The following is a 17,071-nucleotide window of genomic DNA, read 5'->3' on the forward strand; positions in this document are numbered from 1 at the left end:
AGCTGAGATCACACCATTGCACTCCAGCCTGGGTGACAATAATGAAACTCCATCTCAAAAAAAAAAAAAGCTGTATTTATTTAAGAAAACATCTTGATGAGAAGCATCAAGTAAAAGGTGAAGCCCTAAGGGCATGTATCAGAAAATTAAATGAATAGATACACTGCTTTGTATTGGAACAAGATTTTGAGGCTAGGGGATGTAAGGAGAAGAAAGTGTTTCTTGTAGCTGGATATTGCAATAATTTCACATCTGTTTCCAGGTAAATAAGCTGGGAGCAGAATTCATCCCTTTTCTCTTGTAGCAATGCAGCCATTCGTTCCTCATTGCATTCCTCATTATCTTGGGATGCATCTTAAGCAATGGCAACAGAGTTCTCCAAAGCTTCATCCTTGGTGGGAATAGCGTCTCCATCCCTGAGTCACAGGTGGTGGTTTTCTCAGACACTGCATCATCACAAACCATGAACTTTCACCCCTGCATGGGACGGTGATCACTCACCCCCTCCCACAAAAGGACATGGTGCCATAGTCACTTACATATTCCTTCTGAGGGTATGTTCTGTGCATCCCCACTGCTGGTACCAAATCTGCCTGCCTTCATTGGATTAGAAGGAGCAGAAAGCCACTTAGACTGCCTTAGGGAAACACAAGATTATTACGCACCTGTTAAATATATTTTTCTATTTATAACTCTCGCTTTTTAAAAGGGTCCTGTTTGGTGGCTTTTCTTCTACTAAGCACAGGGTCTGGTTAAGCAAGGGGAGCTGAATGTCTCTGTATGATAATACTTGGGGAGGGATTTGGCCTCCACTTGATATAGAAGGAAAAGGAGCCAATAGGAGGCAGGTGGCCACATACTATGATGTAACCTCGCCCCCAAGAGCCCCCAGAACCTTTGATCAGGTCAGTCCAACTCTGAAATAGTGACTATTCACAGAGAACTCACAGAGTCAGGGATGTGGATTTGATTCTTACTCATCCATCTTGCTCACCATTCCCTGTGCCTTGAAATCTGAATATTTGAGTCTTTATTCAGATCTTGGAAATTTTCTCCCCTTATTTATTTTCTCTGTTTTCTCTTTTTGAGATTCCCTCAAGACTGGTGTCAGATCTCAGAACTTGTTTTTTAGTGTCTCTTCAGTGTTGTCTCCTACTCTCCATCCCTTTGTCTTTTCCCTGCTCTGTATGCTAGGATTTTTCTTCTAGCCTTTTTAGATTTTATTTTTTGACAATCTTGTTTGTTTTTTTTTTAATTTCCAAAAACTCATGATCTTTACTTGCTCCTCTCTCATAGCTGTTATTTTTGATGGAGGCAATATCTTCTCAGCTCTTACTGAGAAACGAGTAATTCTTGAAAGGTTTTCTATTTGATTAATTGTCTCAGTTTTCTTTAGCCTTTTTGTTTATCTGTTCATCTTAGGTCCTTTTATTTCTTATATAACTCTTTGAAAATGGCTGATGATCCTTGCTTGACTGTTCACATTTATGAATGAAGAACTAGACTAGGTGTCTGGAGTTACTTTCCTTGGCAGATGTCAGTCTGGTGGTGGGTTAAAGTATTATCCAGTAAATATTCATTCCCTTGCCTGCTGGCCTCATGAGGGAAGCCTGATCCCAGGCCATGTCCTCTCACCCCTCTTCGGTGTTCTCTGTGGTGCATGGGAACTGCCTGCACTCAGTTCCTGTTCAGCTCTGCTGCTGGGGGACCAAATTGAAACAGGACATGCCCCAGTTTAGCCAATGTCACCCTCTACTAATTACCATCTCATTCAGCTAAGAAAATGTATCTTCCGGCCAGGTGCAGTGGCTCATGCCTGTAATCCCAGCACTTTAGAAGGCCGAGGCGGACGGATCACCTGAGCTCAGGAGTTTGAGACCAGCCTGGCCAACATGGTGAAACCCCATCTCTACTGAAAATACAAAAATTAGCTGTGGCCAGGCACGGTGGCTCATGCCGATAATCCCAACACTTTGGGAAGCCAAGGTGGTGGATCACAAGGTCAGGAGATTGGGACCATCCCGGTCAACATGGTGAAACCCCATCTGTACTAAAAATACAAAAATTAGCTGGGTGTGGTGGTGTGCTTCTGTAGTCCCAGCTACTCAGGAGGCTGAGGCAGGAGAATTGCTGGAACCTGGGAGGCAGAGGTTGCAGCAAGCTGAGATTGCACCACTGCACTCCTGGCAACAGAGCGAGACTCTCAAAAAAAAAAAATTAGTCGGGCATGGTGATGGACACCTGTAATCCCAGCTACTTGGGAAGCTGAGGCAGGAAAATCACTTGAACCCAGGGAGTGGAGGTTGCAGTGAGCAGAGATGGCGCCACTGCACTCAGGCCAGGGAGACAACATGAGACTCTGTCTCAAAAAAAAGAAAATGTATCTTTCTAAAGTATGTGTGTGTGTGCGTGCGTGCGTGTGTGTGATAGTCCCTTATAGTGACAGTTTCCTAGCAAAACAAAAGAGAAACATAATAAAATGTGTGGGAATTTGGTGTCTAGAAAGCTAAGTTATATTCTGCTATCAATAGCCATAACCATCTGGTCAGTTCACTTCTGTGGGCCTGTTTCTCATATTTATAAAGTGAAGGGTTTAAAACACATTCATGATTCCCAAACTAGGGATTTGGAGAGTAGTAAAGATTATCCAAATAGTCTTATAATAGTTTTTAAGAGCTATGACAAGGCCACTCAAGCTATTAGCTGATTACTGCAGGGAATGGAGGAGTGGAGCAGAATATGGTGCCGGGCAAAGAACACAGAACTCTTGGCATGTGGAAGGTGGGCCCTGGAGCACCTGCTGAGCTCCCCGCTCAGCCCCAGCTATAGGACCTTCAGCCGACTGTCCCAGGCTCAGCACCATGTGCCTTGAGGGTAGGGCAGAGGGGCTTAGGGGGCTCAGCCAGCAGTCACCACAGATGTAATCTTCCAGGGATATGCTCTGAGCTTGGGAGGAAATTCACTTCTTCATGCCGGGGAACGTATGACCCACTTTGGTGTATTCCAGGCAATGTGGAGATACAGAAATGAAAAGACTCAGTTCTCAAGGGGCTTGAAGTCTGATTCGCTGAAATAATTTTTAGTTTCCAGAACCACAAGACAGACCCAAGAGGGCTGTGTTGGCAAAACAAATGGCAGAGTGGAGCTGGCCAGAGGCATCTGTGCGTGGCGACTCCAAGAGAGCACCCGACTCCAGATGGCGACACTGCAGGATGGAGCGGGGCATGCCTGCAGACAGGTGTCAGGTGCGAAAAACAGAACAACCGGACGCTTCTGGCTGCAAGGACCTGAAGCCTTAGGGGGTGATATTGGTTAAACTGAGGTAGGCCTTGTGTTAATAGGGTCTCCACCTGACTTTGTCAGTTTATTTTCTCACTGACAAGAAGTGGAGTAGGGTGGCTCTGGGTTTGATTTATCCAGCAGTTCAATTCCATCTTTGATTTTTTTTTTTCCATTCTTTCCATTTTCCTCTCTGGCATTCTTTCCTCTCCCGCATTCTCACTTACATAAAGCCAAGTGCAGGGGGAGAGAGAGGAGAGAGACTCTTCCTGTGTCATTTTTTTAAGGTCAATGAAAACCATTCTTAGGAGCCCCTGGGCAGATTTCTCCCTGAATCTCATTGGCCAGAACTGTGTCACATCCCCATGCCTAAGCCAATCACTGGCAATGGGTGTGGGATAGTTGTGGCCAGCCTGGACCCATCAGAATGTAACCCTGAGTCTCAAGGGGGAGAGTGGATGCCAGAATGAAATCAGAGTTCCATCCACTTTCCATTAGAAAGAAAAGAATGGGAGAGGAGCAGAGAAGGCTCCAGACAGACAACTAACAGTGTTTGATACAATAACTTTCTTATGTTTCTGTAACTTAAGGTCCATTTTGTCTATTGCTAGCATATATAAGCTTAATGCCTGCTAGATTCTGTTGTTTACACTGTCCTCTTCTCCCTGGAGTAGTACCGAGGGTGAGGGAGCCTGTGGCCTCTGTAATATCAGGACATAGAGGATAGGGTTGCCGGGGGGCACATGTGGTCCCTTGATTGCCACGTTTCTATTTTGGTTTCTTTTCTTTAAAAGAAAACTTCTTTTATTTTATAGATAAGGTCTCATTCTCTCACCCAGGGTGGAGTGCAGTGGCGTGATCTCGGCCTACTGCAGCCTTGGCCTCCCAGGCTCAAGCAATCCTTCCACCTTAGCCTCTTGAGTAGCTGGAACTACAGGTGCACACCACCGTGCCAGGCTAATTTTTTATTTTTATTTTTTGTAGAGACGGGGTCTTGCTGTATTGCCCAGGCTAGATTTGAACTCCTGGCCTGAAGTAATCCTCCCACCTTGGCCTCCCAAAGTTCTGGGACTACAGGTATGAGCCACCATGCCCAGCCCTAAAAAAATTGTTGATTGTGGTAAACACATAGCATAAAATTTACCATTGTAACCATTTTTAAGTGTACAGATAATAGTGTTAAGTATATTCATATTGTTGTGAAACAGATCTCCAGAACTTTTTCATCTTGTAATATGAAATCCTACACCCATTGAACAACTTCCCATTCTCCCCTGCAACCCCCACAAGCCCCTGGCAACCACAATTCTATTTTCTCTTTCTATTAGTTTGACTACTCTAGATACCTCATGTAAGTGGAATCATACAGTATTTGTCTTTTTGTGACTGGCCCTATTTCACTTAGCATAATGCATAATGTCCTCAAGCTTCACGCATGTTGTAGCATGTGACAGGACTTCCTTCGTTTTTAAGGCGGAACAATATTCCATTGTATGTTTATACCATATTTTGTTCATCTAATCCTCCATCAGTGGACATTTGGGTTGCTTGTACCTCTTGGCTATTGTGGATAATGCTGTTCTAAACATGGGTGAGCTAATATCTTTGAGATCCTGCTTTCAATTTAGATGTATGAGATTTCTGGGTCATAAGATTTAATTTTTTGAGAAACCACCATGCTGTTTCTTTACAGTGGCTACGTCATCTTACCTTCCCCCCAACAGTGTACAAGGATTCCAATTTCCCCACATCCTTGCCAACATTTGTTATTTTCTGGTTTTTTTTGATAGTGGCAATCCTAATAGGTGTGAGGTGGTATCTCATTGTGGTTTCATGAGGTTTAAGTTGAGCATCTTTTCATATGCTTTTAGACCATTCGTATATATCTTCTTTGGAGAAATGTGTGGTGCAATCTTGGTTCACTGCAACTTCCACCTCCTGAGTTCCAGCAATTCTCCAGTCTCAGCCTCTCGAGTAGCTGGGATTACAGGCATGTGCCACCATGCCTGGCCATCTTCGCTCTTGAGCACCTGTGTCATGGTAGGTCAAGGACCCCTGACAGTCAGGGTCCCAGGCAGGAGGGGGCACATCCCTTCTATTATCTTGGATTCTACCACCCCCTTAGAGGGAGACTACAGACCCCCGGACTCTTCCCAGAGACCCATTGCCAGCACTTCATTCTGTTGATCTCCTCTTGCACTTCTGCCTCCCCCAGCCTGGAAAGAGTTTTAAACATCTTGTCCCTGGCAAGGAAACCCTGGCTCAGCCAGTATTCTTACCTAATTTTTCTGCCTCGTGTCCAAAGTGCAGCTGTATTAAATGTATTAAATAAAAGGAAAAACTTGGGCCAGAAGCGGTGGCTCATGGCCAGCACTTTAGGAGGCCAAGGTAGGTGGATCATCTGAGGTCAGGAGTTCGAGACCAGCCTGGCCAACATGGTGAAATGCCGTCTGTACTAAAAATACAAAAATTAGCCAGGTGTGGTGGTGTGCACCTGTAATCCCAGCTACTCAGGAGGCTGAGGCTGGAGAATTGCTTGAACCCGGGAGGCAGAGGTTGCAGTGAGCTGAGATCATGCCACTGCACTCCAGCCTGGGTAACAGATGGAGACTCCGTCTCAAAAAAAGAAAAAAAAAGAAAAAGTTGGAGGGCTTTACCATTTCTGCTGGGAAGTCTGGAGCAAAGGCCACTGGCAGTGCCACTCAGCTTGAACATAGTGAGGGTGGGTGGGAGGGCAGGAATACAGTGTTCCTTCACCAGGTTGCAGGTGGGCATCGACCTCTTGGTGGTCTGGCGCAGCCTCCCTGCCTGGGGCCGTCTGCCTTGGGCTCGTCACTGCCCAAGGATCAGATGAGCTGCTGGAGGAGGACCCTGAGCCAGAGTTAGTTCTTAGCTTAAACTCTACAGCCGTGCTTCTCAAAGTGTGGTCCTGGGGGCCCATGAAGTCAAAACTATTTTGTAATAAAACTACATTACCTTACCATTCTCCTTCTATTACAAGTGTACACAGGAGTTGTCCAGAAGCTGCATGATACGATATGTGATATCACAAGGGATTGACTCCAAAAGCAGGTCGGAGAATCCAGCTGTCTTCTTCTTCTTCTTCTTTTTTTTTTTTTTGTGGAGACAGAGTTTTGCTCTATTGCCCAGGCTGGAGTGCAGTGGTGCGATCTCAGCTCACTGCAACTTCTGCCTCCTGGGTTCAAGCAATTCTCCTGCCTCAGCCACCAGAGTAGCTGGAATTACAGGCACGCGCCACCACACCTGGCTAATTGTGTAGTTTTAGTAGAGATGGGGTTTCACCATGTTGGTCAGGCTGGTCTTGAACTCCTGACTTCAGGTGATCTGCCAGCCTTGGCCTCCCAAAGTGGTGGGATTACCGATGTGAGCCACCGTGCCCGACCTCACCTCCTGGGTTTTCAGCAATTCTCTCTGCCTCAGCCTCCCAAGTAGCTAGGATTACAGGTGCCCGCCACCATGCCTGGCTAATTTTTGTGTTTTTAATAGAGACGGGGTTTTGCCATGTTGGCCAGGCTGGTCTTGAACTTCTGACCTCAGGTGATCCACCCACCTGGGCCTCCCAAAGTGCTGGGATTACAGGCGTGAGCCACTGTGCCTGGCCGAATCCAGCTCTCTTCTATTAAGATATTCTTTTTATTCTAGTAAAGAGAATTGCAAAAATGTAAACAAATGCCAGTCTTCATGAAAGGTTTTTGGTTTGTAAAAATATAGCTATTTTCAAAAAACTTATTTATGTTAAAATGAAATGTTTATTTTTGTTATTTTTTAAAAAGTTGATACATAAATAAAATTCTCAGTTGTAATTTCTCAACAGGATAGAGCTAACCCACATAACAAAAGGTCTTTGCAGTCCTCAGTAAGTTTTACAAGTTTAAAGGGGTCCTGAGACCAAAACGTTTGAGGACCACTGTCCCTCCGGAAGGCTGCGGCTTTCTTCTGGTGGCTTTACACTTCTGCTGTCCTTCAGCCACGTCCCTTTCGCGTCTCCAGGGACTCCTCCATTTGCCTTGAATTTCTCCTGTTAGCTCCACTCCAGGGTGGCCACATGAGGGCAGCCGATTCCGCCCTGAGCCCTTGCGGGGGCCTCAAGCACAGGTGTTCACCAGGTCAGCCTTCAGCATCCAGTTCCTACCGAGTCCCTGGCTGGTGGTACTGGAGAAGCAAAGACGATAAACCAGGTCCTTGTTCTGTGGGAGGCTCAGGCCTCCTGTTCTCTCCCTCCCAGGGGCCAGGAGAGAGGCCCCAGCCAGAGCCTGAGCACATCATAGGGTTGACATGTTTGGTGAATGAACATTATCTCTGTGTTGTGCAGAGCTGAGCATAGAACTCCATCTTCTAGATCCTGAACTTTAACCTGGAAGGGTTAGGCCTTCTTGCCATTGCCTGCAGGGAGAGGTGAGCACCCTAGAACACTTACTGTTCGGGAGCACGTGGTTCTCATGCAGTAAAGTGAGAAGGGGAGAGGAGGCACCTTTTCTCTAGTCTTGGATTAAGGTGGAAGTAAAGGGCATATGTGAAGTTTTTCCCAAAACTAAGGCCTCATTTATTTTTTATTTTTTATCAGAACAAGTCATGGACATCTCTAGCAATGAAAGCAAAGCCCTGCAGTCATTTAACATAGACATACTCTCTACATCCTGTTAGCCAGCGGCTCCTACGACTTCTCCCAACAATCTTAAAGCAACCTGGCATGAAGGAGCTGGCTCAAATGCTGGTCAGTGGAAAGGGCATAAGCTCTGAAGTCACAACACAAGGGTTCAAATCCGACCCTCCCGGCTCCTGGTCTGTGCTCTCTCCCCCTTACTGTAATGCCAACTTCACTTTGGTTTTTACCCCTGCAAATATTCATCATTGTGTTGAGTCAACACAATGATACATAAAAAATCAGCAGTCTCTGATAAAGTGTGGCCTACTGGTTAAGAGGAGCAGGGCTTTGAAAGGATAGCCAAGGTAACACTCCTGGTTCCACCATGTGTTAGCTGTGTAACCTCGGGCAAGCTGCTTAACCTCTCTGAGTCTCAATTTTCTCAACTGTAGAAAGCAGACATAATATTACAGGGTTGCTGAGAGAATAATATGACATTAGGTTTCTAAAGTGCTTAATTCAGTACCTGGCTCATAGTAAGTGCTCAATAAACACCAGTTATAAACATCACTGCATTTGAAATTCACAGCTTTTTCAAAGTTAGAGTCAGAAAGAATTTCAGAAGTCCTGTAATTCAATGTTTTCCAAAGTGTGTTCAAAACACTCACTTCCCTCAAGATGCTCCATGAAAAAGGGTTCTGTGGCCAAATATGATGGGTTGTATATTAAAGCCTCAGAGAAGCCACAGAGTAAAGAAACCTGTTGAACTTTGATTACTCCAACCTTTATCAAATGGATTTGACTGTAGAACCCTCTTCACACATCACTTTTTAACTTCCAGGTTGCTGGTAGACAGAGCTCAGTCATTAACCATCATTAAGAATCATAACAAATACTGGATAACATTTATGGAGGGTTTGCTCTATGCCAGGCACTGTGATATGCACAAGGCATGTATTATCTCACTTTATTCATAACAACACTAAGAAGTAGTGCTATCATCTTTTACGGATGAAAAAATAGGCTTAGAAGACTAAGTAACTTGGCCAAGGTCACATACCAAGAAATCGTCAGCATGCAAACTCAGGTTGGCCTGGCTCTGGAATTCAGCCTTGCCACCTCCCTGTATGGTTTCCGCAGCCCACTGCATTACCCCTGACTGTTGGACAGTCCTTCCTTGTATTGAGCTGAAATCCAATTCCAGTTCCAATCACACTGTTTCTCCAGGGTGCACATAAATATATGGTGAAATGTATTATTTAGTTTCAATTCTAAATATCCTTTATTTGTCATTGTTTCTCGAATTGTATTTATTCTGTTCCCTTTTCTCTTGACTTGCTCAAGTACTTCAGCATTTCATTTGGACTAAAAAACTCAACACAATTCTGTCTGCTTTCTTATAGTATGATATTTTCATTTTTAGGAAGTGACACATTATCAAAACCCATAAGAACTAAATTTTTTTAAGAGGGGGAAAAAGACAAGGTCAGGAGGCTGAGGTGGGAGGATCGCTTGAGCCCAGGAGTTCGAGACCAGCCTGGGCAACAGAGTGAGACCCTGTCTCTACAAACACCACCACCACCAACAAAAAAAAAATTAGTTGGGCATGGTGGCACATGCCTGTGGCACATGCCTACTCAGGAGCCTGAGGTGGGAGAGTCACTTGAGCCCAAGAGGTCGAGGCTATTAGTGAGCCATGATCACACCACTGCACTCCAGCCTGGGCAACAGAGCAAGACCCCATCAAAAAAGAAAGTTTTAGATGTATACAATAACTAAGTTATTTTCCCTGCAGGAATTTTGATAACAAAGTTGTCTTTTATAGCTCTAGTAGTATTGCTGTAAAGCTATAAAAGTACCTCTGGCTTTTGCCCAAGTGTAGTAGTGTCTGTCTCTCTCTCTGTCTCTCCATAGCAGCACATTGTTAACTGTTTCTTACCAGTAGCACTACTTTCATTACTTTTATGACTCATTGTCTCCCTTATTTAGTAAACAAAGTATACAGCCACTAAAAGCAAGTAGCTGGGCTATTCACAGCAGCTTCTCCCCCATACACTGTGGTAGTTCCTAACTACAATCTGTTTGTGTCCAATAGCAGTTCCTAGTGATGCAAATAGTACTTTCCATTTAAACAATTTCATTATAGCCAATTCTAGTTCTGAAAATACCACTGGAAGAAAAACACTTGAGTTCTCAGTATGGTTTGACCAATATAGCTTGGAACTATCACTTTCCTTGTTCTGAACATTATACTTCACTAGTTCAGCTCGAGATCTCATTATTTTGGGTAACTGCATTACCCTATACCTGCTTGTGGAGTTTGTCTCCAACCAATTAATTTTCCCCTACAATTCTGCTATACATCAGCAGTTGTATTTTGGAGCCCACGTGAAAGGAAACTATACTTACATCTGTTCCAGTTCATCTGTTTAGGTCTGGCTCGTTGTTCAGCCTGTGACAATCATCTGGGAGTGGCGATCATTCTCCTTCAGCCCATGTCCTCTGTGAAACTGATAAACCTGCCCTAGAGCAGCACTTTCCAACAGAATGTTCTGTGAACATGGAAATATACCAGATCTATGCTGTCCAATATGGTAGCCACTAGCCACATGCAGGTTTTGAGCACTTGAAATTAGGCTCATGCAACTGGGAACTTAATTTTAAATTGTCTTTAATTTTAATTAATTTAAATAATCCCATATGGCTAATAGATATCATACTGGACAGTGTCGTAGCTCTAGATGTTTACCTGAAATGCAGGTAAAAATATTAAGTAGAACAGGGACCTGCTTCTGTCCCTGGAGTCCAAACTCTGGACTGGGGATGGCCATTCAAGGATTATCAACCACCTGTGTTTATAATAACTCGGTGCACAATTTTATCCACCAGCGTATATGAGTATCAGTGAAGGACTTTGTCAAATGCCTTGTAAAAAGCAAGATGGCCTAGAAATATGTGGCACTGCCCTGCTCTACCAGCCTCATGATTTTTTTTTCCTAGAAAATAGGGTGTGTTTTTTTTTCTATTTGTAGAAGTCATACATACCTACTGTGGCAAAATGCAGGAAAGTACCTAGAGGAAATTAACAATGACCAAAATTCTGCCATCTTGAGATAACTACTGTTAACATTTCAGCATTTTTCTTTCAGCTTTTTTTCTGTGTTGGTATTTTTCACATCACTGAAATCATACCTTCTCTGTTACCTCCTGTTTTTTTTAATTTAAAAAAATTAAAAAAAATTTAATCGACAAAAATATATATGTTTATCATGTACAACATGCTGTTACACTGTGGAATGGCTAAATCAAGTTAATAAGCACACACATTACTTCACATATATATCATTTTTTTGTAGTAAGGACACTTAAAACCTACTCAGCAATTTTCAGTACAATAAATTGTTATTAACTGTAGTTACATAAACCAAAAATAAAATTCTAAGGCCCTGCAACCATCTGAAAGGATCCCTCCTCCTGGCTAGGGCATTCCAAAGTTAGCCTAAAAACTGGTTCAGGCCATGATGGGAAAGGAGGGTCGGACATGCCTCATTATACTCTTCTGCCTTTGGGATTTCAGGAAAAGCTGACGAGCATTTAACATCAACACAGGACCTTAAGTCCGCTAAGAAACATTTACAATCTCTTCTCTGTGAAGCTTGCAACCTGAAGGCTTCACCTGCATGATCAAACTTTGGTCTCCACAACCCCTTATCATAATCCAGACATTCCTTTCTATTCATAATAACTCTTTCAACCAATTGCCAATCAAAAGTTTTAAATCTACATAGAACCTAGAATTCCCCTCACTTCAAATTGTCCCACCTTTCTGGACTGAAGCAATGTATATCTTACATTTTTATGTCTCATGTCTCTAAAATGTATAAAGAAGGTTGTGCCCCGACCACCCTGGGGACATGTTCTGAGGGTCTCCTGAGGGCTGTGTCTTGGGTCATTGGTCACTCATATTTGGCTCAGGATAAATCTCTTCAAATATTTTACAGAGTCTGACTCTTTTTGTCCACAACACCATGTGGTACAATAGATCTCTTGAACTCATCCCGCTTATCTAACTGAAATCTTGTATCCTTTTACTAACACCTTTCCAACCCTTGCCTCCCAGTCCCTGGCACCCACCACTCTGCACTCCGCTTCTACGAATTTAATGTGTTTTCTCGTTTGTTTGTTTTTTGTTTTTTTTCTGAGATGGCGTCTCACTCTTGTTGCCCAGGCTGGAGTGCAATGGTGCGATTTGGCTCACTGTGGCCTCTGCCTCCCGGGTTCAAGCGATTCTCCTGCCTCAGCCTCCCATACCAGTTCAACTTTTTCAGATTCCACGTGTAAGTAAGATCATGCAGTGTCTGTCTTTCTGTGCCTGGCTTATTTCACTTAATATAATGCCTCCAGGTTCATCCATGTTGTTGGAAATGACAGGATTTCCTTCTTTTCTAAGGCTGAATAGTATTCCATTGTGTGTATATACCACAGTTTCTTTATCCATTCATGCACTGATGAACACCTAAGTTGATTCCATTTTTGGCCATTGTGAATAATGCTGTAATGAATGTGGGAGTGCCGATATCTCTTGGACATACTGATTTCATTTTCTTTGTATGTGTATATATTATAGTAGCGGAATTGCTGGATCATATGGTAGTCCTGTTTTTAATTTCTGCTTTTTATATTTTCTTTATATTTTAAAAATTTTAAGAATTTTTATAAGTATTTCTTACATTATTAAATACTCTTTGAAAACAATCTTGAAGGCTGTATCAATGGTTAATAATTTGCATAGCAATTCCCCTGTTGCTGTACTTTCAGCTTGTATCTAAGTTTTTGCTATTACAAATAAAACTGTGCTGAATATCTTCTTGTACAAAATAACTTCCTGAAGGTGTATTATTAAAACTAAGAATATGAACATTGTTGAGGCTAACTCTTCTGAAAGAGGAAATAAGGTTATCCTGGACCACATGCTGGCTCTTAGTGGCCAATTCTTTCCCTTCTGAATATTCAAGGCCACCCATTTCATCCTCTCTTTTAGCCACTCATCCCATATTAATGTCAAGCTCACCTTAATATACTTTTTAGATTCTAATTTCTTAGCCTTTTTGAAAATCAGGAAGACATTGCCTGCCTCGTCAGTCTTCCAGCAATATTTCTGTTCATGAAGGTTTCTTAAAAATGAAGTCTCCTGATCTGTGAGCTCCCTCAGTAGCCTTGAATATGACATTTACAGGTCAGAAGACCTGAGTTGTTCTGAGGCAGCAGGGTGCTTTCTTACTGCCTCCTCCTGTGCTTGGAGCTTCAATTTCTCTTTCCAATAGTGCTCTTCAACTTTCCACCCTGACCGTAATTCTCTTTAATAAGGGAAACCACAGGAGTGTGTGGCAGAGAATATCAGCGCTGGGCAAAACTCATGCTCTCCTCTACTTCCCAGGCACACAGCTGGGGGACATCTCCCAGACTCCCCTGCAGCCAGCTGTGGCTATGTCATTGAGGGCCAGCCAGTGAAGCGTGGGCAGAAGTGATGTGTGCCTCTGCCGGCCTGGCCATTAAGACCCCCGCATGGAGTGGAGACGACACCCAGGGCGACCTTGGAAGTGGCATGATGAAGAGACCAGAGCTTTTGTGGAGCAGTAGTGCGGAGGAGGAGCACCTGCTGAACCACTCACTCCCCGACAGTTGTGTTGGATTGTGGACCTGTTTTCTCTTTGCCCACTCTGGGCTCATTTGCAATTATAACCTCGTTGCTTCTGCTTGAGCTATCTTTCCTTTGTCTTGGATCATGGGATCAAGCATGCGTAATTTTTCTCCAAATACCTTGGGATTCTTCTTCCTAACTCTTGGTACAGAGTCCAGCTGTCCCAGGCTCCTGGATGACAGGGAGCTTTCTCTCACTCTCATCTGACCAACAGGTTCCCCTAGCGGTACATAATTAGATCCAAAATGGTGCTTCTCTTTATCATTTTCTCTGCTTTCTGAGAAATGGAATTGTCATTTTGGCAAGAATTTGGCAGAAATTGTATTTCAGATTTTAATACAATTGAGAAAAAACCATTCATAACCACAGTTGTCTGGTACGTAATGAAGGTAGATCTTGCCGAATGGAACATCCTTCTCTGCAACTTGGTGGGTTTGAATGGCTGAGTTTGGCAGAAGGAATGGTAGAGAAATAGATGACTCTACAGAATAAATGGGGAAGGATTTGGAGTTCTGGAAGCAATATAAAAGGGAAGGGGTAAAGAGGAGAGATGGGAAGATGAGGAGCCAGCTGGATCACTCTGTAAGGGGAGCTAGCCTAAAATCCTAATGGGACCGGATGGCTCAAGAGCTTTTGAGAACACTGGTGTCCAATATTTCATTTGAAGTTGTTGAGTAGATCTCCTCCACTCCCCTGAGGGGTTGGTGCCAGGCTGGACAGGGACAGCACACAGATGGTGAGACAGCCCACAAGCTGAATTCTCCACTTGCAGAGGCTGAGAACCAGCGATGACTGTAAATGTGAGTCTCTGCCCGCCTTCTGCCCTGGCCTCCCTCCTGAGAACTGGCCAGACTTTTGAGGAGGAATTTAGACTTCCAAAGGGTGGAGAATAGAAGTTTCATCCAGTCTTATCTAGGGAAGCTCCCGCTGACATCCAAATTACATAATAAACACGGCCAGTAAAATACTACTGCTACTACTATCATAAAATAAAATAAGGAATTAAGTAGATAGGTCAGGAATTTGGCCCCTTAAAACACTGAGGCCAGAGAGATTACACAGTGTGCCTCAGGGATGTTTTGCTCTGTTCTCAGGTTATCTGGCTCCTATTCCTTGTGTCCTCAGTCCTTGCCTGGGAAGAGAGTGCAGTGAGCAGGGTAGCTCCTCACCCCCTCTCCTCAGGTACCAGGTGCTCCTGGGCCCTCAAGGGCTCAGCTCTTCCCTCCGCAGCTCCTGCAGGGGCTGTTGGGTTTATCAGAGACTGGTTCTGTCAAAGAGCTGAGCTCAGGGGAACATTTTGGGGGAGTGAGGTTCCTACCACCTTGGAGATAGCTTTTTCCAAACAAGGGGAAGCATTTGAGAAATATGTTCATTAGTAAGTTCGTCAGTGGTCATAAAGATATTTTGTCTGATGGCAGAAGGCCTGAATCTTTGTTCCCATAAAAGACTTACTCCTCTAACCAGAAGAATAAACGAAAGGTGGTGAGACACTGGGGACATCTGGGCAGCCATGGAGAAAGAGTTTGTGGATCTGACCCACTGTTCTCCTCTTGTCCAGATAAGGACGTGTGTTTGTGTGTTGACTGGTGAGGACAGGAGGAGGTTTCCTGAGTGCAGAGTGCCAAAGCACAAAGCCTGAGATAAAAAGGCATAAATAGACCTAGAGCCTGACCCAGAGCCAGGCCCAGTGTCCTTGGGCTGGTAGGACTTGCAGGCCAGGTCCCAGATGGGGAGGGGGTACTGGGGCTGAGCAGCTGCTATGGAAATTTCCATGGGCTGTACACCAGCTCTTGGTAAGCTCTTGCACTCAGCATGGCATGGGGAGGACATGGGTTATGAAAGAGGCACAAGACTTAGTCCAAGCTTATAAGGAGCTAGGCCTCTAGAGAAAAAACTCAGGCTTGCCAAAGCAGCAAGTAAACAAACAGGTTGGAAAATTTTGAAACAAAGTTGTAAATAAGGTCAAGGCATGGAACCAGTCAAGAAAAGTCAATATCGTATTCCAGTTATTAGAACCTCATTTCACCTTCTAAGGACAATGTTGAAAATACAAACTTCACATTAAGATAAAAATGGGTTTTATTACTTTAAATACTAATAAAGAGGTGACAATATATTAGTTTTTTAAAGAAAAAACTTTTTATAATTAATTGCCACTTGCCAGAGTTTGAGATTTTCTTAAGAATTCAGGTTAAACTTACAAAATCATTTTTAATACAGAAATCAATGAAAAATGATCCAAAGACATTAGTTTCATGCATTGGTAATCGTTACCAAAAGCCTTACAGTGTGCAATTTTGTAAAGTCAATGTTGCAACTATCCCAGGAATTGGAGGTCTGTGTTTTTCCCCTCTCTAGTAAGATTCAGGTCGTGTGTGTGTGTGTGTACAAGTGTGTTCACACGTGTGCATGTGCAATGTATGAACCCACAATGCTGACCATAATGCTGGACTCCCAATGCACTGGTTAGGATGCCTTTGCTTGTATTTAAAGAAGCCATGAAGAGGACATATTAGTTCACATGGCTGAAAAGTTAAGTGTTAGGGCAGCCTTCTAATAAGCTTTAATCAGGGCTCCAGTTCCATTTCTAATTCTGTCTGCCTTGCCCTGTTGTGGCCAGATTCCTTTTCGGGCTGGCTTATTCACAGTTGCAAGATGTCTGTGAACAGCAACTCAGCCAACAACAACTCGTCTAAGGAGAGAGGAGCTATTGTTTCCTACAGCCGTTGCATAGAAGTCCTGAGCTTCCTTCTGATTGGACCACCCCAGGACCAGTCATTGAGGGCGTGCCATGTGCTGACTGGCTGAGATTCAAAAACCTATCATCTTGTCAAGTGGATTGGGATTGACTTATATCGGGGGCATGATATGGTTTGGTTGTGTCCCCACCCAAATCTCATCTTGAGTTGTAGCTCCCATCCCACGTGTCATGGGAGGGAACTGGTGGGAGGTAATTGAATCATGGAGAGGGTCTTTTCCATGCTGTTCTTGTGACAGTGAATAAGTCTCATGAGAGCTGATGGTTTTATAAACGGGAGTTCCTCTGCACAAACTCTCTTGCCTGCCACTGTGTAAGACATGACTTTGCTCCTCATTCTCCTTCTGCCATGATTGTGAGGCCTCCCACGCCGTGTGGAGCTGTGAATCAATTAAACCTCTTTCCTTTATAAATTACCCAGTCTCGGGTATGTCTTTAGTAGCAGCATGAGAACAGACTAATATGGTAAATTGGTACCAGTAGTGGGGTGCTGCTGTAAAGATACCCAAAAATGTGGAAGCGACTTTGGAACTGAGTAACAGGCAGAGGTTGGAACAGTTTGGAGGGCTTGGAACTTCCTAGAGACTTGTTGAATAGCTTTGACCAAAATGCTGATAGTGATATGGACAAGTAACATCTAGGCTGAGGTGGTCTCAGATGGAAATGAGGAACGTGTTGGGAACTGGAGTAAAGGTCACTGTTGCTATGCAAAGTGGCTGGTGGCATT

General features: G+C 43.8%; 1 long non-coding RNA gene across 2 annotated transcripts; it reads left to right on the plus strand.

Moving 5' to 3' along the window:
- On the plus strand, positions 5,224-16,760 carry LOC107985354 (uncharacterized). 2 transcript variants are annotated; one of them, XR_001738506.2, is made up of 3 exons: positions 5,224-5,319; positions 7,865-12,222; positions 13,323-16,760. It is a non-coding gene; the product is annotated as an uncharacterized LOC107985354 (long non-coding RNA). The 2 variants fall into 2 exon arrangements; XR_007066910.1 differs by lacking the exon at positions 5,224-5,319 and having other exon boundaries at positions 6,839-12,222.

Source organism: Homo sapiens, chromosome 1 (genome assembly GCF_000001405.40).
Source record: "Homo sapiens chromosome 1, GRCh38.p14 Primary Assembly".
Lineage (NCBI taxonomy): Eukaryota > Metazoa > Chordata > Mammalia > Primates > Hominidae > Homo > Homo sapiens.